This window comes from Homo sapiens, chromosome 12, assembly GCF_000001405.40.
Source record: "Homo sapiens chromosome 12, GRCh38.p14 Primary Assembly".
NCBI classification, from domain to species: domain Eukaryota; kingdom Metazoa; phylum Chordata; class Mammalia; order Primates; family Hominidae; genus Homo; species Homo sapiens.
Window position 1 is genome coordinate 111,444,951 of NC_000012.12, and position 27,436 is coordinate 111,472,386.

Here is a 27,436-nt window from a genome sequence, read left to right on the forward strand (position 1 = left end):
AGTTGGGGAAGAACCCCTGGGTTGTGCTCAGCCAGCAGGCAGGTGGCAGCCAGGCTGGCTGTGGGTGAGGAGGGGAATCCTCTTTTCACCACTGCCTGCCTGCTCAGCAGTTCTTCAGCTGCTGGGGGTGGAGCTGGCTTGCAGGGGCCAGAGTCAGAGTGAAACCGGCAGCTCTGCTGGTTAATCTCAGCACTGACACTGGGGACTAGGCCTGGAGCGGAACTGAAAGGGAGACTAGGCCCGTTCCCCTCCAGGCCTGGCCTATATCCTCCCAGTGATCCTTAAGGCCTGCAGCTAGGGGGAAGGGTGGGGGCCAGGCAGGGCCAACTGGAAAAGTAGCAGAAGGAAGTGGCCACTCGCACCTTACCCATCTTGCAGACAGGAAATGAAGGCTCTGCAGGGCTGGCTGGCTGTAAAAATGGGCAAGAGCGCAGAGGCCCCACTCCCTGCACACTGCGCTGTGTCCAGTGCCCGTGTGGATGCCATGTGAGGCCTCACTCTGCCTGCCTCATCCTGGCTGCTGGACCTCTGGGAGTAGGAGGTGAAAATGCCCTGGCTGGTGCTGGTCACTTCAGGCTGGAATTTTCTAGTCATGCAGCTTTCTAGTGAGAGGCCGCAGTGAGCTGTGGCCAGTGTTGGTCATTCCTGCAGTCATTACTCTCCCCCAGCCTGTTGTGTCCGCCAACCAGAGCAGGCCCGGGAGCTCCCAGGAGACCTGCTGGAAGGGCCCAGGTGGCCATCCTGCTCCTGCCAGGCTGCCCTCTTACCTCACTGTTCATTGACTCTCCTGCAGGTGGGGAAGGGGGATAAAGGAGGTGGCCAGGCCACTGGGTCATGATCCTTCCGACAGAGGTACCTGGCAGCTCTGTGTGTAAAGCAAGGTTAAGCATCTGGTTTTGGGGGTCAATTCAACAGCACTAGCAGCTCCAGTCCAAGGTATGCCCTTTTGGGCTGAGGTGGAGGTCAGATCACCTGAAGCCACAGTTGCTAGAACATCCTTTGGGCTGCCTCTGCTTTCCATCCCCCTGCTCCCAGTTTGTTAGGGGTTGTAGTATTTTCCAGGAACACCTGAATGGAGGGGGCCCAGTGGGGCCACTTCTGTCCATTCCTTATCTCATCTCTTTCTCCCCTTTTCTTCTTTCGGCCATCTTTTCAGTCTTATCACAAGAGGAAGGGGAGGGGCAAACCCCCTCCTGAGCAGATTCCCAACCGGAAGCAGCTGGCTCCTTGGCTGCAGAGTGCCCCAGCACAGGAAGCATCTGCAGGGTCAGTTGAGACCTGGGAGCAGGTTTCCTGCTGGCAAAGGAACAGTGGCTAACTCCTATCCACCCTGCAGCCCTATGTGCCGGGTGTCCTGGGAAGGTCCAGGGCCAAGATTTTGTGGTTTTACAGTGGCTATAACTTAGGCTAGCCATGCTAGGCTCTGCCCCTTTGGGCTTGGTGTGATGAGACCGTCAGCAGCTGCTATCACCTGGCTGGGCAGGGAGCTGTTTGCTCACCAGTGGGAAGAGAAACGGATGTCAGACACATGGCAGAGTGGGAATGTCTCCAAGTCCAGGTCCAATGGGCTGGGAGGGCTGGCCTTCTGCCAGCACATGCTTCTTGGGATCTCAGTGTGAATGGTGTTCAGGAGGCTAGGGGAAGGCACCCTGGACCTCACTACAGGCTCAGAGCCTGCCCAGCAACACCATGGATACTCTCTCTAAAAGGGGGACTCCTGGGGAGACTATAGACAAACTCAGGCCTGGCTGGAAGAAAGAGCATCAGGAACAAGCCTTGAGTACCCCAACTTGGTCTCGTAGAGTTCAAGGCCCAAGCTACAAGCAGCTTGCTCCAGCATCCAGGAGGTCCGGTGGTGCACACGGCTTGAGATGCCTGACAACCTTTACACCTTTGTGCTGAAGGTGAGTGACAAGGCTTTTCACACCCTGGGGCAATACAAATACATACACATACAGCAGACCCAACCCTGTTCCCTTCCTCCCTGCCAGGTGAAGGACCGGACAGACATCATCTTTGAGGTGGGAGACGAGCAGCAGCTGAATTCATGGATGGCTGAGCTCTCGGAGTGCACAGGCCGAGGGTGAGGTCCTGGGCCCTCGTCCCTGGCACCACCTTTGCTGCTACCACCCCTGACCTGCCCAGATCCTTAACCTCAGCCTCTTCTCCAGCAGGCTGGAGAGCACAGAAGCAGAGATGCATATTCCCTCAGCCCTAGAGCCTAGCACGTCCAGCTCCCCAAGGGGCAGCACAGATTCCCTTAACCAAGGTGGGTAAACCAATAGCTAGGCCATTGTCTTCTGGGTACGCTGGAACCCAGACTCAGCCCAGGACATAAGGTAGCCCCCTGCGACCACCATCACCCATCTTATCTAACAGGTGCTTCTCCTGGGGGGCTGCTGGACCCGGCCTGCCAGAAGACGGACCATTTCCTGTCCTGCTACCCCTGGTTCCACGGCCCCATCTCCAGAGTGAAAGCAGCTCAGCTGGTTCAGCTGCAGGGCCCTGATGCTCATGGAGTGTTCCTGGTGCGGCAGAGCGAGACGCGGCGTGGGGAATACGTGCTCACTTTCAACTTTCAGGGGATAGCCAAGGTATGGGGTGGGGTGGGGTGGGGTGGGGCAGGCAGGACCGTGCCACCCCTCTCCACTGGAGTTCAGGGTCCTAGAGGGACAGCCCGAGCCCACCATCCTCTCCTCCCACAGCACCTGCGCCTGTCGCTGACAGAGCGGGGCCAGTGCCGTGTGCAGCACCTCCACTTTCCCTCGGTCGTGGACATGCTCCACCACTTCCAGCGCTCGCCCATCCCACTCGAGTGCGGCGCCGCCTGTGATGTCCGGCTCTCCAGCTACGTGGTAGTCGTCTCCCAACCACCAGGTCTGACCCTACTGCCCTTTGCTGAAGGGGGTGGCTGACACTGGGTAGAGGGTAGAGGCTTGCTGCAGACCCAGGGGTACAGGTATCTTGTTCTGTGTCCTGTCAGCACTTGCCTCAAGACTGATGGTGTGGTCTCTCTTGGTCACTTGTCCTAGGTTCCTGCAACACGGTCCTCTTCCCTTTCTCCCTTCCTCACTGGGATTCAGAGTCCCTTCCTCACTGGGGTTCAGAGTTGGGCCTTCCCCACCTTAGTTCTTCTGGCTGTCCCCGGGGGCTCAGCCCAGAGGGTCTCCCAGGGCGATCCTCACCCCCCGAGCAGATCTTCCACCTGGTGCCTTCGCCCGAAGAACTGGCCAACAGCCTGCAGCACCTGGAGCATGAGCCTGTGAATCGAGCCCGGGACTCGGACTACGAAATGGACTCATCCTCCCGGAGCCACCTGCGGGCCATAGACAATCAGTACACACCTCTCTGACCAGTGAGGAATTCCAGGCCTCAACAGCTGCCCTTGAGGAGCACAGGCAGAAGTGTGAACTTGTGAATGTAATTGATCTTTCCTTCCTTCCAGAGAAAGATTTAAGGGACACTGTTAACTGCTCGTGCCAGTTTGGAAGTGACCCTTCTATTAGGCCTGTTGAAGGGCCCTCCTGTAGGTTTCATCTATCCACCTGGCTTTCTCCTTATTGTTTACAGATGTAGTTCTTGTTAGAGGATGCCGCTAGCTCCTGCCCGGGGTCCCTATGCCCAGTCCCCGTTACTCTTAGAGAAAGGAGTTGGGGTGAGGGCCAGAGCTGGCAGTGGAAACTTGTTCTCTTTTTCACTGACACTGTCACAGCGGATGACAGACTTTCTACGGGGAGGAGGGGGGGATCATCAGGAAGCCCAGAACACTAACAAGCGGTTCTCCCATCTACCGTCAGTCCACATGGCAGGTCTGCTGTGTCCACACCACAGATGACCACATCTAATCCTGCTTCTACTCTCAGCTTTAGGACAAAAGCTCTGTCAGAGGCACAAGCTGAAGGTCAAAAATGATTTAAAACATTTTACCTCAGACTAATTTCTTTAAAGGATTCAGGTTCAAAACTTAACCACTGCTTATTTCAGTGCACTGTTTCAACTAACACCCATGCTATTTTTGTAGTCAGAAACAGCTATGCAAACCCTACCTAATTTACAGTCTGAGCCAGCATGCTGGCTTGTCTACTGCATCCTCGGGACAGTCACCTGCCACTGAGTGGCCACTGTCCTTCCTAAATGTCAAGAAGTGAAGTATGTCACCCTTTCAGGGAAATTCAGGCAATTACTGAAATAGGAGGGTGGCAAGAACAGTTCTATCCTGGTGCCTTACGAATAAAAAACTGGATTCTGGTTTACAGCAGCTTTACAGTGATAGTTAAATTAACTGGGGCTAGGGGAAGAGCAAGCAAAAAGGGAAGAAGGACTCCTAGGCCCTTTCTAGTAAATCCTTCAGCAACAAGGCTGGCTTGGTGCCCTCCAAGCATCTAATGGCTTATTAAATTATCCCACAAGTGGGTTTTAGGCTCCTTTTTTGAGCCAAAATGGAAGCTGGGAATCTGGTGCCATAACTAATGAGAAACTCCTTTAATAGCCCACAATCAGTGTTCTGTTCTAGCTGGCTACTGCTTCACTGGATTGAGAATCTATCTATCTCCTTGCACACATGGGCACACACAATCTCCACCATCCAGGGAGGTCCTGAAGTCAAATCTCTATCTATACAAGTGATACAATTCATAGGGGGCTGGCTCCTCCCAGAACCTGTCTGGAGGCTCAGAAACGGGGGCAGTGACAGTGGAGTCAGCTGCTCTTGGGTGCCAGCAGAGCCATTCAGTACAACCCCCAGGCTCACAGCAGTGGCTTCTAGGAAACTGGGAGTTTAGATCAGCTTTACAGATACATCGATCAGAGGCTAAAATGAAACCTCAGCCTAAAACTCATAGGACTGACTGCCTGGGAGGAGGGTTAGGTCTGCTTCTTCCACTTATACTTAGTCTCTGTGCTCCAAGAGGTCAAATTTTTGCTTCTAGAATTTCCTTGGGGTCTTTCAGAGGGTGGGGGAACAAACCCCTATGCACTTTTCTTTTTTTTTTTTTTGAGATGGAGTTTCTCTTGTCAACCGGGCTGGAGTGCAGTGGTGCAATCTTGGCTCACTGCAACCTCCACCTTCCTGGTTCAAGCGATTCTGCCTCGACCTCTCAAGTAGCTGGGATTACAAGCACCAGCCACCATGCCTGGCTAATTTTGTATTTTTAGTAGAGACAGGGTTTCACCATGTTGGCCAGGCTGGTCTCGAATGTCTGACCTCAGGTGATCCACCCGCCTTGGCCTCCCAAAGTGCTGGGATTACAGGCGCGAGCCACCGCGCCCAGCCTACACCACTTTTAGTACCAACACTCTTGGGTGATTTCATGGACCCTAAAGCAGACCTGACACTGATCCAGATTTGCAGTCCATTTTTAAGGACACCTGTCTTTATTTCCTCAAAGTCAAGCAGCTTTCTCTGGAAAATGAATGCTAATTAGTGTGAACCAAAAGAGTAAGTAAGAGTCTGAAGTTTTTTTAAAGGAGAAAGCTTATTATGGAAAGTCACTGGTCCTCCCCTCCGCACAGGAAAGGTACCCAGTAGATAATGAACCAAATTAAGTTCCCTCCCTCCAGCCAGAAGTTAAACATCTGGGATATGACGTCTTCATGCCAGGGGCACTCATTTCTTAGCAGCCTCTCTACATACATCTCTCAGGTGGTGCCAAGAGGCACACCAGGTAGAGCAAACTTAGCAGCTCTGACTAACAGGCTGCAAAGTGCAAGTTCAGATTCTGTGGCAGAGATTTGGAAGGCACCCACCTCCAGACTGCTTCCCGTCCAAGTTACCAGGACAGCTCAAAAACATGCTGACAGAAAACTCCCATGGCTCTAGGAAGAAGTGACACTAAGCCAACACCTTTCTTTATGTGGGAGCAGAATCAGCTGATGAAGGGGTGGGCAGCAGTGTGGGGCAGGCACCCCACTGGCTGCAGCTAGCCCACCATAGGCACAGCACATCCCACCACTCTCCTTCCAGTCCTGACCAGGCCCCAGCCGGCAACTTCTACCGAGAGCCATGGCTCAACACCAAACTGGACAGTAGACATCATGATCCCTCCAGTTAGCTCTAATTACAGACCCCACCAGTACAGCTTGACAGCTCCCGGCACCATCCCTTCCTTCATCTGACTTATTGAACTTTTACAAACTAACAGTCACCAGCACCAAAGAATTAAGTCAACTAACCTGCCTTGAATTTTAGACCAGCAATCCATATGGCTTTATCTGGTATAAATCTTCTGCCTTTGATCATTTCTGGACCGTAGGAAAAAGGAATAGCAATCATTAAAATCTTGGGCCAGAGAACACTATTTTTACATAACAGTTTCTTAACCTAAAGTCAAGGCCTTGGACTCTTCCCTGAGGGTTGCCTGAGATTCCTTCATGCTTTCTATTCAGGACTAAGTCCCTTACTGCAAATGTGTTAGCTCTAACATCTCCCACAAGCTAGAGGAACTTGCGAGTATATTAACAAGGACACATCTGACATCCTGTGTTTGGTTAGAATATACAGCACATTGTGATAACATAAAGTGGATTCATCTTGTATCATTATAGGCAGAAGGTATTTGGCAAATTTTTATGTATTGTTTTATGTACTGTACAAGTAACTTATTCTTGAATAATGCAAATTTTGCTATAATGTACAAATTGCTATATGTGAATTAAAAAGTTTTCAGAATCTTGATTTGCTGTCATAATATTTAAAGGCTCTATTAAGACCATGGTGTCTCTACAAAATCCTTGCCCTGCCCAAATACTCGCTCTTCCCTTTGTCCTCCCCGTTGCAATCTGGGAATACTAACAAATGCTTATGAGTCCATCCATGTCAATAAGCAGCTTTGTACATCTTTGTATCTTTTCAGCCTTCATGCCCTCTGGATTTCTTTATTGCAATTTTTTTCTGAGTGTCTCCTGCCCCCTACTGGTAAAGTAGAAAAATGCCCGAATTGGGAACTTCCAGCTAATGACACTCATTTTGGTTCAGGAGATATTAAAAAGGAAGCTTACAGAATCGGTGTCAGCCCGAGGATGTGGAATTTCAGTGCTGCCCAACTCTGGCCAACCTTCCTCCTCCTGAAGCAGATCTCTAATCCACCAAAGAGAATAGCTCAGTCTTGTCTTTTTCTAGAGATACCTTGAACCAGAACTAAGGGTGAAGAAGAAAAATCATTTCACAGCTACCTTCCGGGATATTCAAAATGCACCCTTAGCACACCTGCTTTGATATTAAGTATCCTACAAAGAAGTAGCTTATACAGACACACACTAACTTGATCAGTTTTTAAAACTTTTTTTATTTTTTAAATTTTTTTTAAGTTTTTATTTTATATTATCTACAAAGTAAAAGTTTTTCCCTTAACTTAAAAGTTGAACCACTGTAGACAGTGATCACCTCATCAAACTTGATTTATAAATAATAATCCGTCAGTTTGACGGTAAGAATTTACTGAAACTTTGTCAAGTTTAGTAAAAGGGCGTTCCAAGTCTTGATTTTTTTTTTTTTTTTTTTTTAGCAGTAATAGCAGCAAGAATCACTCTTGTTACTTCTTTTGCTAGCTGATGTGTTCATGACTTTCAAGGGTTATTAAAAAATAAATAACTTCCAGTTTCGGCAAGCAGAGCTGGGGTACCTGCGGGACTCTGAAACAGCATATGGAATTATGGAATAGCCCCCAAGTTCCTAAATGCCTCTACTCGGTCCAAGTATCTTCCACTGCAAGTGAACTGTTAGCATTCCTATTGGATGTTACAAGAAATCAACATATATATTTTAAAAACAAAATAAATGAAATTCTAGTTTTCTGTGCTTCCAGTTGGTAGAAGCAGTAGAAGGGAGGAGGGAATTTGGCCTTTCGGTTCCTCCAGGGCAGCCTTACAACTGCTGTTGGTGGTGGGCTTGTACTGTAAAAAGAAAAGCGAACATTGAAACAGAAAACTGGCAACACCACACATCAGCCTAGTGTCTCTGCAGCACATGATTGTAAACTATCCTCGTGCTAGCTGAACAAAACTCAAAATTGAATTCGCTTTTCCCCCTCCCATCTGCACCAAAGTGGGGAGGGTTGGGTGGGTGGGTAGAAACAAACCAGTCAGACGTAAAACCACTTCAGATAAAACTCCCAGAAGACTTGTTCATGGGGTAGAAAAAAAGGCCTTAACAAACCCCCTCCCCAAATATTAGCCAAGCACCAGTATTGCTTTCAGAATAACAGGTCAGACTGTGAAGTATCGCCATGGCAGCCATCAAGTAGTAGAGCACAATCACAGGGCGCTCTCCCCTGTTCAGGGGCTGGGGCTAACGCTACACTCAAAGCCAGTCCATCCACAGCGCTTTCTCAGCAGTATCTTCTCCAGAGCTACAATCAAACTCTGCCATGGTAATAACCCCCCACATGTCAGACTTTTGGGACTCAGGAAGGAAAACACTGCCCTGTCCAGCCTGTCATAACAAGGAAGGCCAACTGAGTCCTAGGCATGCATCAGGCTGCTGTTGCTGCTGCTGCTGCTTCTCATCAAGCCAAATCCTGTATACCATCAGAACACACACAGACTCGGCTCCCGGAAGCCTCAGGCCCTGATGCTGAACTGATCGTCACAGTCCCTCCTGTGCACACTCCTGGACGGGTCTTGCTAGTTCTCAAATGCGGGGCTTGAAGCACTGGCCCTGCCTGCCATTCCACCTGTGCGAGCAGAATGCTTTGGGGTGCCCCGGCGGCCCCTGCACACACACGCCTCACCTGAAGGGTGCGTCATATAGGGGAAATGCGCTGTTGTCGAGACTGGAATGGGCTGTAGTGCACTTTGAGCGAGGGCGGCCTGGGGACCGCCGGGTGGCTGTGTCGTCATTAGCATCATTGGCGCATGGGCAGTTGGATGAGAAGGAACCATTCCTGACTGTACATGAGCCTGAAACAGAGAGCTCTTTTACGCATACAGGCAACATCTCCGGCTTCAACAACATGTCAACTGTGTTCCTTTCACTGGGCTGGGACTCTCAGGAAAGGGCAACGGTGGGCCTCAGGGCCCAGTTCTGTTCTCTGGGGACAATCTCTAGTAGATTATCTATTGACCTGAAGACGCGCTTCACCTTTGGGCAGATCCTGCAAGGGTCAGGGAGCAGGCAACAAGTGAGCCTGGGTAGAAGTCAGGGCTGTGCTGTCCTAACCCTTGACATTTCTGATCATTGTATTCTATGTATGGGGTAAGATCTTCACAAAGATTAGACACTGGATCCAAGGGCAGCTTTCTCAACTTAATATCATACAAGATTCAATGATGCTTCAGAATCAGGCTGCCATGTGGGGCCTGAGGTAGTTTTGCAGATAACATCCCTTTCAAATAGGAAAACAGATTACATTAATAAGCAGAGACTGTCACAGTCAAGTATGTGAATTACTTGGACCTCTGTTCATTTGCCTCTCTCCCTCTGCTTCTGGTCTGCTCACCAGGCAGTGAAAAGAGACTCTTAGGCCCCCGTGACTCTCTCAGAGATATGCTGATGGAGCAGGAGGAGGAGGAGGAGTTGGAGTTTTTAATGGCTCCAGTGAGATGGAAAGGAGTAACCTGAAGTCATCTGGGCCAGCCCAGCGTCTCTGTACCAAGTTCAACCTGGTCTCACTCACTGTCAAGTTGGAAAGGTGATTTTAGTCAGCCCAAACAGCTGGATTCCAGCTCTGCAGGGGGTTGGCAGGGCCAGGAAGAGCCCTTGTTTCCTTTTTCCCACACTGTGCACTGTTCTAGACTACGATAAGCCTTGGATGAAATGCCGTTTTTACTCTCACATATTCAAACGGGCACATGGCAAATTTGAGCTTCCCTGTGTTAACCTTTTTGCCCTTTCAGCACAAAAACAGAGTGAGGTTTTAGGGATCCCTGACTTACATGTAAGTTCACATGCCTACTTAGCCACCAGCCTCTGGTAGACACCTACAGGACCCCAGCTCTTATGAAGCTGACTCCACCAAACCACGCTGGCCCACACGGACCAAACCGGCTTCCCTCCCCACTATCAAAAAGCAAATCAACTGCAGTGCGCTACACCACAGAACCTAAACTTTGCAGGGTGAGGACGCCCAAACTTCCCAGAGCTGTGGAACTCTACTTACAAGGTAGCCTTCTGAGAGATAGATCCAACTGAGTCGCATCTCTAGCCCACACCTTGCCAGAGCCTCACTGGCGCACTATTTAACAGGAAATGGAATTCATTGTGGCAGGTCTCACTTAGACCCGCCTCAGAGAGTTCTGTTATGAAAGTAGCAGAGACATCTAATACAGCCAATTCACCCGTAACAGCCCCAGGGAGGGCCTCAAGGCCAGCGTTAGAGCCCAACTTCAGTGCAGCTCCTTCTCCTCATTAAGACAATCCCCTGGGCCCTGGAGTGCAGGGACCTTTGTCAGCAGCTGATGCAGACAGCAACCACTGAGATGGCAAGCACACCTTTCACCTGTAGCAGCTTACACTGGAGGTGAGCTCCAAAGTGCTTCCAGGGCTGCTCTTAAAGAAAAATGGGACCACCTGGGTGCTTCCAGCTTCTAGTTACACTGCACCAATGTCCAAGGCCAAGCCCTCTCAAGAGTACAACTTATGGTCAAAGCAGATATATGGATAACCAGGGAAAACAATTGGAGAGATGTGTCTGGAACTCATGTGAGTAACAATCAAGTTGACAGGCCCCGGTAGTCACTTCGGAGAGCTGAGACTCTGTGAAGGCCATCATCCCTGCCTGGCTTCCAAGGTAAGTGTGTAGGGGAATATATATGTACACATATATATAGTAGTGAGGCTATATAGACATAGCAAAGCAGACACAGAAAGGAAAGAAGGACTGGGTTGCATTCCAGAGTCAAAGATATTTTTAAGGTCTCAGTTGGAAAACTAAAGGACTGACCAATCAGCACCTTCACTGATCCCATGACAAAACCACACAAACATTCCCTTAGGGCCAGATCACGTGTATTTGAGAGGGAAAGGGAGACAGGCAAATGGCATGACACACAGGGTTTCCTAGCTGGGAGAGCCTCTAGCTGCTTACTGATAACCTTCACATTCTACTTGGCCTTCACAGAAAGTTGGCTAAAGCTGGTATTACCTGAGGTACGTGGGCCATGTGGGGTGGGTTGGTATACGCCGGCTGAACGTGAGAAGGATGGATCGTAAAGACAGTCTGTTGTGCTGCTGGGAAACTATTCTGTGGCGACTGCGTGTTGGAGGCAGGTGTCATGGAGGGTGGAGTTGGCGCAAGCCCCGCGTGGTAAATGGCTGACTGCTGCTGTGGACTGGCCAGATGGAGAGCCTGGGCGGCCTGGTGCTGATGGTGCTGCAAAGCGACAGGAAAGAATTGAGAGGAAAACTTCTTTAATGAAAAGCAGCCAAGGGATACCCACAAAGCTAAGCTTTGCACACTTGGGCCTATGATGAGGGTCACTGGAAAGTACAGGAGAATGTACAGGGTGGTAAGAGCAAGGCTGGAGGTGCCTCCCATCTGGACAACTCCTTTCTAGGGTACAGAAGCCTGATTCTCAGTCTGGCAGTTAGAAACTTCTGAGCATACATACTAAAGTCAAAAAAGACTACTGCCCCAGGGAACTGATAGATATCAAAGACATCTTTAACTGCCTCCATTAGCAAACATAATTCAAGAAGCTCATAGGAAAATAACCTCATCACATAAACCTTAGAAATTAAAAAGTCCCAAGCAAATAGGAATTTGCCTTATGAACTTTATGTTAAATTTGATTTTTCATTACTGCAAGTTTCCAGAGCTTATCCAATCACCTTATTATCAACATGTATCTTAAATGTGATTTTTTTTAATTTTTTATTTTTTTGAGACAGAGTCTCGCTGTTGTCCAAGCTGGAGTGCAGTGGCGCGATCTCTGCTCACTGCAAGCTCCGCCTCCCGGGTTCACGCCATTCTCCTTCCTCAGCCTCCCGAGAAGCTGGGACTACAGGCGCCCACCACCACGCCCGGCTAATTTTTTTGTATTTTTATTAGAGACGGAGTTTCACAGTGTTCGCCAGGATGGTCTCAATCTCCTGACCTCGTGATCCACCCGCCTCGGCCTCCCAAAGTGGTGGGATTACAGGCGTGAGCCACTGCGCCCAGCCTTTAAATGTGATTCTTAAAACCACCACCCCAGGGGCACAGCTGTATCCATCTTCACGAGGGTGGACATGCCATGTGTTCTGACGATGCGATACCTGGCACCTGAAGAAAGCACTCAGATACTAGGATAAAGAAGCCACTCCATGCAGACCTCTGAGTTGCCCTTACCTGAACAGGACTGGGTGCAGGATGACTTCCACCATGTTGGCTTTGCTGCTGTCCAGTGGGGGTAGCTGAAGGCTGAGGGTGTGGAGTATGTGGGTGCAGGGTAGCGTTAGGGTGCGCATACTGCTGAGCAAGGGAGCCCGTGGAAACTAAAGTGAAAGAAAAAGGAGCATGTACACAACCGATGTCTGACAACCTCCATCGCTCCTCTACACTTCATCAACTGAACTTTCTTGATGGTTACAATGCATAACTCACGCCACTACCAATTTCTATAGATGACTCCATTTAAACCATCCATTGTCTTGAAAAAATAAGTGTAGCTATTGCTTAACAGACTAGCATTTGGTTCATATAATACAGCTCTACATATGATATTAAAATCAAATTAGTTTGCATTTACTCTTAACGGTCACTAGGTTTTCCCAAAAAGGCAACTTGAAGGCATAGGCAGAAACTACTCAAACAAGTGCATTTTAGGTGCACACTCTTTAGCTCAAGGCCATCATCAGGCTAACCTCACCATGCTACTGCCCTGGAGCAATGTCCTGAGGGCACAGACTATATTGGGTGTGGTGGGGGATGGGGGTGCGGGCACTGTGTATGGTATGTGGCAAGGCCAGGGATCTATCATCAGGGCCGAAGGACCACAGTCTCTCTCAGCTAATCACAGGAGCCCTTCTGCCACTCAGTTTACTTTCCCAAGCCCTAATGGAGGATCTCCCATCTTTGCTTTATGAAATAAATATAGAAAAGTAAACTCCCTTCTGAGTGCCCCAGCCCTTTGGAAAGAAATTTACTAGACTAACTTCAAAGGACAACATGATGGGCCAGTTTAAATCAAAATAAAGATAAGAACTGAAAGCCAGTTCTTTGTGAATCTCAGCGTGGGCCAAACCTTGGTACAAAAACCATTTCTTCATGTCTTTCAGTTTTTTGTTTTTTGTTTTTTTTTGAGATATAAGTCTCACTCACTCTGTTGCCCAGGCTCACTGCAACCTCTGCCTCCCAGGTTCAAGCAATTCTCCTGCCTCAGCCTCCCGAGTAGCTGAGATTACAGGCATGTGCCACCACGCCCAGCTAATTTTTGTATTTTTAGTAGAGATGGGGTTTCGCCATGCTGGCCAGGCTGATCTCAAACTCCTGACCTCAAATGATCCGCCCACTTCAGCCTCCCAAAGTGCTGGGATTACAGACGTGAGCCACCGTGCCTGGCCTGTTCATGTGCTTCAAAAACAGTAAGTTGAGAATCAGAAGCAGAGTAGGATGTGTTCACTGCTTCCAGTGACTATGGACAGCACACCGATGATAAAAAACTAACCTCCACGAGGCAATGAGCTGAGAATAGAGCGTTCTCAAGACAACTCTAGCAAGGTATAGTTCCCAGCCCTCTCTTGAGAAACAAATCCTAAAATCCCTCAAGATAATAAGCCCATACACAGAAATGATTCCAAAATAGTTCCCCACATTCTTCATATAACGTGTTAGCAAACACAGACATATGCAGGACTGATTGGTGAGAGAAGCAAGCACAGCTTTGGGAAGAGGCACCCTAGTTCCAGCAGTCTGGTAGGCAAGGCTGCCGAGTCACCAGCATAGACGGCTCTGGGTATATTCCACGTAAATGGTGTGCAGAGGGTTAGGCTAGGCACATGGAGCAGTTCTATAATCCTAGGTGTTGTAGGGCTAAGGGCCACCAACTCTCCAGCCCTAACAGTTACGTCTCCAGCTGCAAAGCTATCTCTTAGCAGGGGAAAGGGCAAGGCAAAGAGCCAGTTCTAGGATCACCTGTGCATCCACTGCCAATGCCACAGCTGGCATTAATATTCCTTCATATCCAGTTTAGACTGGATACAGCAGCTTTGTTTATACACTGGGAAAATTTTCCAGACTGTAGGAATTAACATATGCCAGAATATTTTAACAAGAAAACTGTGGCAACATAGTCTCTGAATGTTTTTAAGAGTAGTGAACGTCTTCTGGGAGCTAGAACAAATGATGTACAAACGATGAAGCCTTCCTGAGCTTCACAGTCCCATAAGTCTATAAGACAGTCCTTTTTTTCTAACTTGGTGGCTTATTAACAGGCCCTCCATCATCATCATACTCATTAAGTTTACTTCCAGCTCCTCCAAGTTGTATAGGCACTGACTTGGTCTAAAAGATTTGATGTAAATTTCGAACCTGAGTTTGTTGTACTTGTAAAAATCTTACGTTCATTTTAAAAATGTATTTATTTGTTTAATTTTTGACAGAGTCTCGCTCTGTTGCCCAGGCTGGAGTGCAGGGGCACCATCTCGGCTCACTGCAACCTCCGCCTCCCGGGTTCAAGCGATTCTCCTGCCTCAGCCTGCCGAGTAGCTGGAACTATAGGCAAGCATCACCATGCCTGGCTGATTTTTGTATTTTTAGTAGAGACGGGTTTCACCATGTTGGCCAGGCTGGTCTCGAACTACTGGCCTCAAGTGATCCATCCGCCTCGGCCTCCCAAAGTGCTGGGATTACAGGCATGAGCCACTGCGCCCGGCCATGTTTGTTTATTTTTGAGACCCAGTCTTGCTGTCACCCAGGCTGGAGTGCAGTGGAGCGATCTCGGCTCACTGCAGCCTCCGCCTCCTGGGTTAAAGTGATACTCCTGCTTCAGCCTCTGAGTAGCTGGGATTACCTGGCTAATTTTTGTATTTTTAGTAGAGACGGGGTTTCACCATGTTGGCCAGGCTGGTCTCAAACTCCTGGCCTCAAGTGATCCGTCCATCTCGGCCTCCCAAAGTGTTGGGATTACAGGTGTGAGCAACTGCACCCGGCCTAAAAATTTATTTTTGAATAATAAAAAAGCCACATGTAGCTAAGTAGCTAATACGGTGGACAGTGCAGTTTTGTTGTTGTTTTGAGACGGAGTCTCGCTCTGTTGCCCAGGGTGGAGTGCAGTGGCGTGATATCAGCTCACCGCAACCTCTGCCTCCCGGGTTCAAGCGATTCTCCTGTGTCAGCCTCCTGAGTAGCTAGGACTACAGGCGCGCCTGGCTAACTTTTTTGTATTTTTAGTAGAGACAGGGTTTCACCATGTTGGTCTGGCTGGTCTTGAACTCCTGACCTCAGGTGATCCACTTGTCTTGGCCTCCCAAAGTGCTGGGACTACAGGCGTGAGCCACCGCGCCCAGCCACAAAATGTTCTACTGGATAGTGATGTCTACAGTTGTCCATGGTCCCCTACTGTTAAACCATTAGCACTAACCCCTACCGCCACCCCAGCCTCTTAAAAATGTCATTTGTAACAATCTAAATCTGTCTAAGGAAAAGCAATTCCCAAATCCCAAATTCTGTTCATGGAGGTTCATAAAGATACAGTACGGAATCTCAGAGGTTTTTGTTTTTTTTTTGTAACTTTATTTATTCAAGAAATTTTGTACTAAAAAGTTTGAAATTTCACTTTTAAATACCTTCTAAGCAAAGTATTAAGAATATTAAAAAGTAACAATAAATATAGAAAATAATTATGCCCATGAAATCTCATAATTTAAGTTATTCATCAACTGGAAAAATGTAAAAATCTTAAAATCATTTGAAGAGAAAAGTAAAGATGAAATATTTTTACTATGCATTTTTAAAAGGCATCTCTGCAATTTAAGTTTACCAGTATTTAAAGACTATAATACGGTTTTCTAATCTATAGCTAATTTGCATGCATAGCACAAATACCCAAGCTGAGTGAATGTACATAGGCTTTGTTTAAAAAAACAAAAACAAAATCCTTTCCCTACCTAAATACCGGTAAACTTGCAAGGCATTGATTAAAAACAAGACGAACAAAAACCACAAAGGATGTGTAAAATATGTATCATACGTTGTAAACAAAATTTAAAAAGAGTTAATTAGAAATATTTCCCTTTGTTTTTTTGTTCTAGCTCAAAAGATCTGAAAGAAGTACCTTAATCAGGAATTCTTTTCCTCCTTGAATTTGAAATTGGGAGAAATGGAGCCGGGCACGGTGGCTCACGCTTGTAATCCCAGCATTTTGGGAGGCCGAGGCGGGCGGATCACCTGAGGTTAGGAGTTCGAGACCAGCTTGGCCAACACGGCGAAACCCTGTCTCTACTAAAAATACAAAAATTAGCTGGGCGTGGTGGCAGGCACCTGTAATCACAGCTACTAGGGAGAGTGGGGAAGGAGAATAGCTTGAACCCGGGAGGTGGAGGTTGCAGTGAACCGACATCACACCATTGCACTCCAGCTTGGGCAACAAGAGCGAAACTCCGTCTCAAAAAATAAAATAAACAAATAAATAAATAAATAATAATAATAAATTGGGAGAAATGTGAAACTTATACTTTAAATCAATACTAGTAACAAAAATACAGTTCGGTTCCTTGATAGGCCAGTTAAGTGACAGTGACACAAAGCAGGGTAGGAAGAAAATTTAAAAGCCAAGGAAAAAAATAGCTTGGAAGACAAGAGAGACAAAAAAGGAACCAGGGGCCGAGGTAGGTGATCACGAGGTCAGGAGTTCAAGACCAGCCTGGCCAAGATGGTGAAACCCTGTCTCTACTAAAAATACAAAAAAAATTAGCTGGGTGTGGCAGCAGGCGCCTGTAATCCCAGCTACTCTGGAAGCTGAGGCAGAGAATTGCTTGAACCTAGGAGGCGGAGGTTGCAGTGAGCCGAGATCGCACCACTGCACTCCAGCCTGGACGACAGAGTGAGACTCCATCTCAAAAGAAAAAAAAAAAAAAAGGAACCAAGATAAGGTAAAGAAGGAAAAAACACAGGAGAATCAGGGAAAAGGAGAGTGGAGTGGGAAGGGCAGTGGGTTCTGACCCACACATATTATTTCACTGCTTTTGTTATATATGCTCATTCTGGCTAAAGATCCCAGAGAGGTTAAAAATAAAGTTAATTTTATTTGTAATACTGATTTATTCATCAGTTAAACTTCTATTTATAAAACTTTAGTCTTCATAAAATCTTTTAGATTAAAGATAATCAAAGACATATGCTTCTTTGGTCCAGACCTAGTCCAGAAGTTTCCCACTCAGTGTTCCTTGACATAAATATTTAAGATTCTAAACATATGATCAGTCAAAAATCCTTAATAACACTAACCACATTCCAGAACTAGTTTCCTCAGCTGTGATCTCACTGAAGCAAATTAAGTACAGAAAGCTGTGTGTTTAATTTGTAACTAGGTTTTGTCATTTTGACTTTGGATGCACAAGTCATAAGAGATCACCAGCATTGCAAAACTTATAAAACAAAACAAAATCTTCCAACTTGTAAATCTGATGTTAAATTCAGAAAAAGGGAAGTGAAGGAAAGTTGAAAACTCTAAAAGGGGAATAAAAGGCAACTTGACCAAACCATCATAAAATGGCTTAGAACAGGGGGAAATGAAGCAGCAGATTAAATTAGCAGCCCAACTGTTAGTTTCTTTTAAAAAGTACTGATACTCCCTTTTAGGGGAAGTTGTGCTAAGGCAATTAAGGCTTAGGTGTTAATGATTAAGGACCTTAGCTACTTACCAGGAAAACAACACCAAACTACTAACAGAGACAGTAAGATGGTGAGGATAACTACATTTGAGACCTCAAATTGAGTACATAATAAAATCACCTACTATCTTTTACACACTACAATCACAGACATAGTTTCCCCTTTAATAGTATATACATACAGCAAGACTCCTTTTTAAAGAGCATCTATTAAAGGATTAAATTTAACATTTCCTAGCACCAAATAAATTATATATACACACATACATATATATATATATACACACACACACACACACACACACATATATGTATGTATGTATGTATCAGCTTATTTTTGGATACCAAGTCATGGCATAATTAACAAAGATTTAAGGTCAAATGCATTTTAAATGCTAATATGGCATTTAGTAGAGTCAGACATTGAGTCACCCCAAAATAACTCAAAATGTGCCTAACATAAAATTTGAATCCTTAATATCCTCTAGAACACAACATTTCATACAAGGTGACAATATTAATGGCACAAATTTCTAAAGGATTTCTACAAATATTAGTACTCCTTCCTATTTAAATACCAAAGTCCAAGACTAGCCTTATTTTTATTTTTTATTTTGAGACAGAGTCTCTCTCTGTTGCCCAGGCCTGAGTGCAGTGGTACAATCTCAGCTCACTGCAACCTCCACCTCCAGGGTTCATGGAACTCTTGTGCCTCCGCCTCCCAAGTAGCTGGGACTACAGGTGCGTGCCACCATGCTTTGGTAGAGATAGGGTTTCACCATGTTGGCCAGGCTGTTCTCGAACTCCTGGCCTCAAGCAATCCACCCACCTCGGCCTCCCAAAGTACTGGGATTACAGGCGTGAGCCACCACGTCCGGCCCTTATTTTTACAAATTGCCCTACAAATAGGAAAAATGTACCTTAAAAGTTCATTTCCAGAAGAAAGCTCTGCCCAGACTTTCTCCATGAAGGAGCAACTATTTCTGTACTTTTTGCCAGGTGGGGAGAGGGGACCTGTGCTGTCCAAGATAATGACCTGAGAGGTCATGATCTCTTGCTTAAGCTCAAGATATCCTGAGGGGTCTGCTTCCTGAATATTTTATTTTTTGAGACAGAATTTCGCTCTGCCACCCAGGCTGGAGTGGAGTGGCACGACTTCGGCTCACTGCAACCTCTGCCTCCCAAGTTCAAGCAATTCTCCTGTCTCAGCCTCCCTAGTAGCTGAGATTATAGGCGCATGCCAGCATGCATGGCTGATTTTTGTATTTTTTAGTAGAGATGGAGTTTTACCATGTTGGCTAGGCTGGTCTTGAACTGCTGACCTCAGATGATCCACCCGCCTCAGCCTCCCAAAGCACTGGGATTACAGGTGTGAGCCACCGTGCCTGGCCCTTCCTGAGTATTTTAAACCTTTAGCCATGCACAGGACTGAAAAGTTTTTCCCTTAGTATTTCATCAATCCTATTCAATTAAAAATCCTGGTAGGCATAAATTTCATCTTATCAGAATATAAATAAACATTTTAAGTTTATACCAAGCTTGTGGCTTGGGGTGTGTGTGTGTGTGTGTGTGTGTGTGTGTGTGTGTATAAATAAACATTTTAAATTTATACCAAGCTTGTGGCTTGGGTGTGTGTGTTTGTGTGTGTGTGTGTGTGTGTGTGTGTGTGTGTGTATAAAGCTGTTTAGGAAGTTTCTCTAACAAGGAAAATATTAGGCATTTCCCAGTCACATTTGCTTGGTATGCAAAAATTGATTTCTGAAACAACTCCATTTTTCATTAACTCCAGCCTTCTTAAATTGGGTATTTCCATTTTAAAAACTGAATTATTTATATATATAAGTACTTTCAATAATTTGACTGGCACAAGGAAAATATTGTTCAACAAGTCTACTCCCTTAACATGTATCCTTTAAAAAGTGTTTTACTGTACAATTAAAAATTAGTATAAAAAACCCAACTCACTGGCAAAGTAGAAAGAAGGGCTTGTCTCCTTGTTGTATGGTAATTTGGGACATGCTGAATTTGGGAAATAGAAAGGTAAATTAGCCTTTTGAGGTGTGCATTTTCCAAATTTTCTGGAAAGGTTGACATATTAGTAATTTCTTTTTGTATTCATGCATAATTCATTTTCATAAGAGATGACAAGCACTTTAAACACTGCTACAGAATTTTAAAAGAAAGGACTAAACCGGAAGACACTGTTCTTCTGTACTTAGGTGTCAAGTTGTCATGCTGACTTGCTTAAAAGTAAAAGGAATAAAATCATTATCTAATAAAAACACCAACATGGCATTCTACTGAACAACCTTGATATAAATCATGTACCAAAATAAAACTATTTTACAAGTTTAATTCAATAGACACACAATTTTGCAAAAACATTACTAATGGAAATGTCATTATCCTGAAAGATTATCTAGTAATGGATCCAAAAATTTAGGATCATAGCAAGAATATAAACATGAATATTATTTCTTATTAAAACATGTCTACATAAAGGGGTAGGGTATTTGAGTGTATTTAAATACACCTGGAAGGATACACATCAAAATGTTAAAAGGCAGTTGTCAGGTGGAGGGATTATGGATGCTTTTCATTTTTTTTTTTTTTAACTTAACTATATTTTCTTACTTATCTGCATTAAACTACCAAAAACAAATCAAAAAAGGATTCTGGATCTAATTCTTCCTAATGGCTCTAGTTAGTCGGAAAAGTTGTATTATTACTGTTTCTGAAAGGTAAAAGCATCACCATAAAACAAAATTAGATGGATTAGAAGAGTAGATGTGAGGCTGGGCGTGGTGGCTCACATCTGTAATCCCAGCACTTTGGGAGGCCTAGGCAGACAAATCACAAGGTCAGAAGTTCGAGATCAGCCTGGCCAAGACGGTGAAACCCCGTCTCTACTAAAAATACAAAAATTGGCCGGTCGTGGTGGCGCACACCTGTAGTCCCACCTACTCGGGAGGCTGAGGCAGAAAAACCGCTTGAACCTGGGAGGCAGATGTTGCAGTGAGCTGAGATCGCACCGCTGCACTTCAGAATGGGTGACAGAGTGAGACTACCTCAAAAAAAAAAAAAAAAAAAAAAAAAGAGTAGATGTGAGAGGAAAAAAAATTAAAGTAACTTCTTAGAAGGGATGGGGTAGAGGCAATGATGGAAGTTAGATTAAGAGACATCAAAGAGGCCGGGGCAGTGGCTCACGCCTGTAATCCCAGCACTTTGGGAGGCTGAGGTGGGTGGATCACCTGAGGTCGGGAATTCAAGACCAGCCTGACCAACATGGTGAAACCCTGTCTCTACTAAAAACACAAAAATTAGCCAGGTGTGGTGGCGGGCACCTGTAGTCCCAGCTACTCAGGAGGCTGAGGCAGGAGAACTGCTTGAACCCAGGAGGCGGAGTTTGCAGGGAGCTGAGATCGCGCCACTGCACTCCAGCCTGGGTGGCAGAGGGAGACTCCTTCTCAAAAATTAAAAAAAAAATAAAAAATAAATAAAAAATAAAAAAAAAAAAAGAGGCTGGGCACAGTGGCTCACGCCTGTAATCCCAGCACTTTGGGAGGCTGAGGCAGGCGGATCACGAGGTCAGGAGATCAAGACCATCCTGGCTAACACAGTGAAACCCCATCTCTACTAAACAAAATACAAAAAATTAGCCGGGCATGGTGGCGGGCGCCTGTAGTCCTAGCTACTCGGGAGGCTGAGGTAGGAGAATGGCGTGAACGCAGGAGGCGGAGCGTGCAGTGAGCTGAGATCACGCCACTGCACTCCAGCCTGGGCGACAGGGAGAGACTCCATCTCAAAAAAAGAGACATCAAAGAGATAAGGTTTTTGACAAAAGCCCTTTCTAAGATAGCTAGAAAGAGGTCAAGGTCAATACTTTTTTAGAATAAAATAATTATCCTATTTTATCATTTAACTGTTCAGTAATGTTAGCATATGTGTATTAAACATACTAAAAATTTAAAAACAATAATCAGGATTTCATTTTGCAGTCATTAGTGGTCCTATGTTTTCAATGCCTTTGGCTATGGCTATAACAATTAATGAATGAGAAAAGGTGACATAAAATTGTCACCAACATCTGGGTGCATGTTCTTCTGTTTGCATTAAATGTTTTAAAAACCTAGATATGATGTAGCTTAAAAAGAAAAGCACAATTCATACTCAAAGTATTTGGTTCCTTTGAGAAAATTTATGACAATATATTTAATATATTTATAAAATATAAATTGTTCAGGGAAGATGAGTATAAAATTAACACTTCTATGTAAGTTTGTTGTAGTTTATAAGAATGTACTTCAAATTTTGTTTATATTTGATATAATAAGGCTTTGAAAGTCTAATAATTCAAATAAATCACTGCAGATTTAATGAAGAACATGCTTAAGCAGATTAAATTATGGCTTATGATGGCATAGAACAAAACAATTCTTTCTTATGTTTTCTTTTTTTTAAATAGAGACAGGGTCTTGCTCTGTCACCCAGGCTGGATTACAGTGGTGCCATGATAGCTCACTGTAGCCTCAAAGTCCTGGACTCAAGTGATCCTCCCATCTCAGCTTCCTGTGTAGGTGGGACTACAGGCATGTGCCACCATGACTGGGCTTTTTTTTTTTTTTTTTTTTTTTTTTTTTGGTAGAGATGGGATCTCGCCATCTTGCCTAGACTGGTCTTGAACACCTGGGCTAAGCGATCCTCCACTTCAGCCTCCCCAAGTTCTTGGATTACAGGTGTCAGCCACCATGCCCAGCTCCTAGTGTCCTTTTTAGGGTCTTAAGCACCACAAAGGGAATCTTGATTAACTAGTGACAATCACAACAAGTCCACAGCCTTGCTCCTAGCCTGCCTCCATACAGACAGCAATTAAATACCACCTGTGTAAACTGCAGGAGAGTAGTTCAGATTTGGCTGAGTAACTTTTTCCTGGCATGAAAGAACCGGCTCTAATGACTAGTTCATTCCAGATTTCACTGGACATTAGATCTAGTGCTTTGTTTTGTTTGCAACATTTCCTATTTGCCCACACATAAATGGACTTTGGGGTCTAAGGCCCCACTGCTCTTCAAATGGACATGTTCTAGGAAGTAGTTATGAAAATCATCTGTACCTCAAACACAGTATTTACCCTATAGGCTGTTTCAAAACCAATGAACATTCATCCAAAAGATGAAGCCAGATGTTGGCAGTGAATGAACACAATGAGGAGAAAGATTCGGCTCAACATTACAGTATTATTGCTACAATGTCTCAAAAGCATGCATACACAAATAACTACTCTCCAAATGCAATGGAAATTTTAGCTTAAAAGTTTCAGATCTGATTCCAAGGGGAGTATGCCAGAAAATGGAAGGAAAGAGATGTTCTTTCCACTTGTTAAATCATGATGTATTCACCAGAAATGTATAAACAATCATAATGAACTTTTAACCTAAGCCTTTAGCAAACAGGAAAATTGTTAAAATATATACAAGTTGCATAAAAGCCAGCATGATAAATCAATCGTGCCTTTGCACGCATATTCAGTCCCCGTTAAGACAACTAAAGACAAGTCAAATGACGGGGTCATAACCAAAATAATAAACCAAGTTAGTTTGTCAGTATCTTTTACAATTAAATTACGGATGGGCCTCTTGAAAAAAATGTTTTCCAAAATGTAGCAATCACACAATTTTTTATTTAAAATGCGTAATCCACAATACAAAATTGAAAGTGATAATGTGGAAAATTAAGACTGGACTTAACTGTTTTATAAAACTAAACACCTTTGATCATATACAAATTCCTATCAGCAGTGAGCCTTTGTGGCAGACAAGAACCTCCAGGAAGAAAGCATAAGCTGTGGGTTACAGGTGACAGGAAGGATGATTGCTGCTGCCCAAGTCCTATTCTCATTAACCTACGGAATGTTAAAACTTTTATTCTTCAAAAAGGACAGAGGTGGTATGAAAAGTAGTAATGTCTCAAGAAGAAGGTTTGCCAGAAATCTGTAAATTCTTTTTTTTTTTTTTTTTTTTTGGAGATGGAGTCTCACTCTGTCGCTCAGGCTAGAGTGTAGTGGCGCGATCTCGGCTCACTGCAACCTCTGCCTCCCGGGTTCAAGCAATTCTGTTGCCTCAGCCTCCGAAGTAGCCGGGACTACAGGCACATGCCACCACACCCGGCCAATTTTTTGGATTTTTAGTAGAGATGGGGTTTCACCATGTTGGCCAGGCTGGTCTCGATCTCCTGACCTCATGATCCGCCAGCCTTGGCCTCCCAAAGTGCTGGGATTACAGGCGTGAGCCACTGCGCCCAGCCTATAAATTCTTAAATAACTCAATTTTGCCTAAACATACTCGTTCAGGACATCTAAACTTAAAAAATAAAAATTTTATATTCTTAGTATTTCAAAAAGTTCAAAGAGGCTTTAAAAATGAAATGCCCATGTAGTTACATGTAACCATAATCTCATTCTCATAGCAGTACACTTTTCAACTGTATGAATAAACCAAAATTATCCCCTACTCCAAACAACCAAAAACGCAAATAGGAAAACTAAACGACACTACGGTAGTTCTCAGAAATATTCAGAACAAAACATCTTAATGAAATCAGTACTATTTAAAAACATATTCTGAAAAACATTTGAAGCAATCCATTAATTCTGTATCATAAGATATACAAATGGACATTTTATTTTAAATTATCAACAGTGAAAAATCTATTATTTTGGTACTTTAGACAGCTGCTAAGTTGATCTACACAAATTTCTCTGTTTAGTCACAAAACGAAGATGGGTTTTTTTGCTTATTATTCTCACATATAAATACTGCTTAGTTTTACATAAAATACTTCTCATTTTCATTTCAGCATTCTGTTCACATTGGTTATATTTAAAGTGTGACTCATGTCTAAAATATATCTAATATGACATAATATTCAACCATTAAAATACAGCATGATGTAGAAACATAGTATTATCATTATAACAAACAGCAAAAAAAATATGTAATGCCAGTGACCCTCAGATCAAGTAGTGAAGCAAAATGTTTTCATGCTGGAGAACACCTTTATGCTTTTATTATTATAAAATTCTCTTGCATGTCGTAGGCAGGATATACCAAAGCATAATATTGATGAGGAAGAGGAGAAAGGTACCTTTCTCCACAAAGATGCTTTGCCATTATATACATCATTACATTTTAGTTAAAGCAGGAAAGAGATCTGAAGACCAGGTACAGAAGTAGAAACTATTTGCCAAAAGTTATAAAGCAAGTCAGGCAAAGAAATGGGTTCATCTTTTCCTTCAGATTCTTGACCCTCAATGTCATAAAAGGTCAGGTTATTCTTAGATAGAGTATGTTTTCAGAAACTTAAATTAAGAAGAGTCACACACACTGGAAGAGACAAACAAAGTGCTTCCTACCATACATCGCATGCGTCTGCTCATGAGCCCCGTACTGAGTTGCTGAAGAAGATACTAAACCAGGCTGGGCGTGTGTTGGTGGTGCCATCATTCTAGCATTACCCTGTATTACAGGACTATAGACATGAGGATGCTGTGTTCAAACAAAAAATAAAGAAAGCACATTAACACTGCAAATAGAGCCAAGCAGACTTTAGTTAAGATTTTTAACTCCATGGTTTCCAGATTTCCAGAAACAGCTGTAAACTCTCAAATCTTTCTTGGCTGTTTCCTCTGAACCTCTTACAATCATCAGTAACCTTCGAATATATATTGAAAAGGGTCCCCAAGTCCTTAGCTATCTACCCTACCATCACACAAAAGCAAAAATTATAAAGGAAAATCCCTTTACCATATTAAAAGTTTTTTTATATGGTACAAAAATTAAGAGTTAGGCCTTACCAGCCTTACCTGAGACTGATAATGTGGCACATGCTGAACAAGGGGCTGATTTGGGAACTGCTGAGGACTGTAGGCAACATATTGCGTGGAGTAAGCTGGTGGGGTGGCTGCAATCGGTGGGCCCGCTGCTGACGCTGGGTGCATCATGGCACTCTGATGATGCTGGTCTTGCCGCTGTTGGGGCATATTTGGTACTGCAGAAAAAAAAGCAGACTGCCTATTAAACAGTATCTCCACAGCATAATACATGTGTTCACATGGTCTAGGAGGCTCTGAATGATTTGACCCTGAATCTGCGTCTCTGATGCCATCTCATACCACTCCCACTTCTGCCACTCTGGGTTATTTTCCTATCATGCATGCTAGTCCTCAGCCTCAAACACCAGTTCCCAAATCCCAGCTGGGATAATTCTGCTTCATCCTTCAGGTGTCAGCTTGAAAGCAACTTCCTCAGAGGGACTTTCTCTCATGGCCCTCAGACTTGATCAAGTCCCTGTAACAGACTCTCACAGCATTATGAAATCGCTTCTCATATGGTATTTTCTGGGACGGGCACTGCATTCATTTTGAGAAAAACAAAGGCATGACCAAAGAGCCAAAACAGATCCAACACTAACTTTCTATCTTCCTTAATTTCCAACCACTGAATCCTTGTAACACTTCCCATTCTTTCTCAAACCCAGTATAACACAGCACCATGTAGCATATACCAGGTTTCTAAATAATAGTTCTTTTAAAAGATTACTTTATGTCTTATCTTAATCCACACAGGTGGTCTGCATGTAAGGGCCTCGCCCTGTTACAACTCTAGTTAAGAATTCAGCTCAACTGTCATCTCCCATGTGAGGTTTTTTTCCAGTTCCTCCAGCACGAGCTAGCTACTTCCCATGTGCCTCTTTCCTCACACATTTCTTACAGCACTATTGTCTGTGACCTGTTTCTGGTGTGGCATTAACCAAGCCACTTCAGGAAAATAATTGTGGAATGACTGCTTACAACTAGGTATAAGGCACAAAGAATATAGAACTTGTTCATAAAATCCTAAGAACTGATTATATAATTAACTGCAAATTTGTGGCTAAACATTCACTAACTGTTGCTGAAATTTGGGAGAGCTAGTTACATATTATTTTATCTATGTAGGAAAGCAAACCTGAACATTTTTTTATATTTTATCTTGGATGCACGTATTTAAAAACCACCTCCTTCTGGTAAACAAAAAAGCCACTGAAAACTACTTATCACTTTTATCAAATGAAAGTTTGCCCGATTATGCTAACTGAGCTTAAACTATTCACTATTATTACTTTGTTACTTATTACCTTCCTGTATATTTAAAAAATAATTAAAAAGCTAGTCAAGTATACTATGGTGCTATTATTTAGATATCATGTGTTTGTCTCCACTAATTCTCATGTTAAAACATGATCCCCAGGCCAGGCGCAGTGGCTCACGCTTATAATCCCTACACTTTAGGAGGCCAGGGCGAGCGGACTGCTTGAGCTCATGAGTTTGGGACCACCCTGGGCAACATGGGGAGACACTGCCTCCACAAAAAATACAAAAATATTAGCCAGCTGCGGTGCTGTGCATCTATGGTCCCAGCTACTCAGGAGGCTGAGGTGGGAGGAACTTTTCAGCCAGGGAGGCAGATGCCGCGGTAAGCCGTAACTGCACCACTGCACTCCAGCCTCGGCGAAGAAGTGAGACCCTGTCTCAAAAAAGGGGAGGGTAGGGGACAGGAGGGGAAGAAAAGAAACCAAGCCCTTGACTCTGCCTGTTATTTGAAAAATGCTAAAAATATTTTTATCCAATACCTCAAAGGATTGGAATTTAGT

General features: G+C 44.5%; 2 protein-coding genes across 16 annotated transcripts in view, besides 2 other annotated features; one reads left to right on the forward strand and one right to left on the reverse strand.

Moving 5' to 3' along the window:
* SH2B3 (SH2B adaptor protein 3) overlaps positions 1-6,673 on the forward strand; it is a 46,894-nt gene extending 40,221 nt beyond the window's left edge. For 6 of the 11 annotated variants that reach the window (XM_047428025.1, XM_047428026.1, XM_005253818.5 and 3 more), the window contains 6 exons: positions 1,803-1,904; positions 1,992-2,083; positions 2,175-2,269; positions 2,380-2,594; positions 2,706-2,877; positions 3,033-6,673. In XM_047428025.1, coding sequence (XP_047283981.1) covers positions 1,803-1,904; positions 1,992-2,083; positions 2,175-2,269; positions 2,380-2,594; positions 2,706-2,877; positions 3,033-3,352 — 996 coding nt within the window. In that variant the 3' untranslated portion in view covers positions 3,353-6,673. Of the gene's footprint in view, positions 1-77; positions 1,267-1,802; positions 1,905-1,991; positions 2,085-2,171; positions 2,270-2,379; positions 2,595-2,705; positions 2,878-3,032 lie in introns of those variants that run through there. The other 5 variants (XM_011537720.4, XM_011537719.3, XM_005253819.5 and 2 more) reach the window with 3 other exon arrangements.
* Positions 185-454: an enhancer, noted in NCBI's record as "active region_7036". NCBI's record gives its function as "activates an Ori minimal core promoter by ATAC-STARR-seq in GM12878 lymphoblastoid cells {active_cell/tissue: GM12878}" and the evidence as "EXISTENCE:reporter gene assay evidence [ECO:0000049][PMID:35858748]".
* Positions 3,575-3,644: an enhancer, noted in NCBI's record as "active region_7037". NCBI's record gives its function as "activates an Ori minimal core promoter by ATAC-STARR-seq in GM12878 lymphoblastoid cells {active_cell/tissue: GM12878}" and the evidence as "EXISTENCE:reporter gene assay evidence [ECO:0000049][PMID:35858748]".
* Positions 7,264-27,436, reverse strand: part of ATXN2 (ataxin 2) — a 147,460-nt gene continuing 127,287 nt past the window's right edge. For 3 of the 5 annotated variants that reach the window (NR_132311.2, NM_002973.4, NM_001372574.1), the window contains 7 exons: positions 25,608-25,792; positions 25,158-25,290; positions 19,712-19,765; positions 12,264-12,409; positions 11,079-11,306; positions 8,727-8,895; positions 7,264-7,890 (listed from right to left, as the gene is read on the reverse strand). Coding sequence is in view for 4 of the 5 variants with exons in the window: in NM_002973.4 (NP_002964.4) it covers positions 7,862-7,890; positions 8,727-8,895; positions 11,079-11,306; positions 12,264-12,409; positions 19,712-19,765; positions 25,158-25,290; positions 25,608-25,792 (944 nt within the window). In the remaining variant the exon portion in view is untranslated. Of the gene's footprint in view, positions 7,891-8,726; positions 8,896-10,094; positions 10,170-11,078; positions 11,307-12,263; positions 12,410-19,711; positions 19,766-25,157; positions 25,291-25,607; positions 25,793-27,436 lie in introns of all 5 variants that reach the window. The other 2 variants (NM_001310121.1, NM_001310123.1) reach the window with 2 other exon arrangements.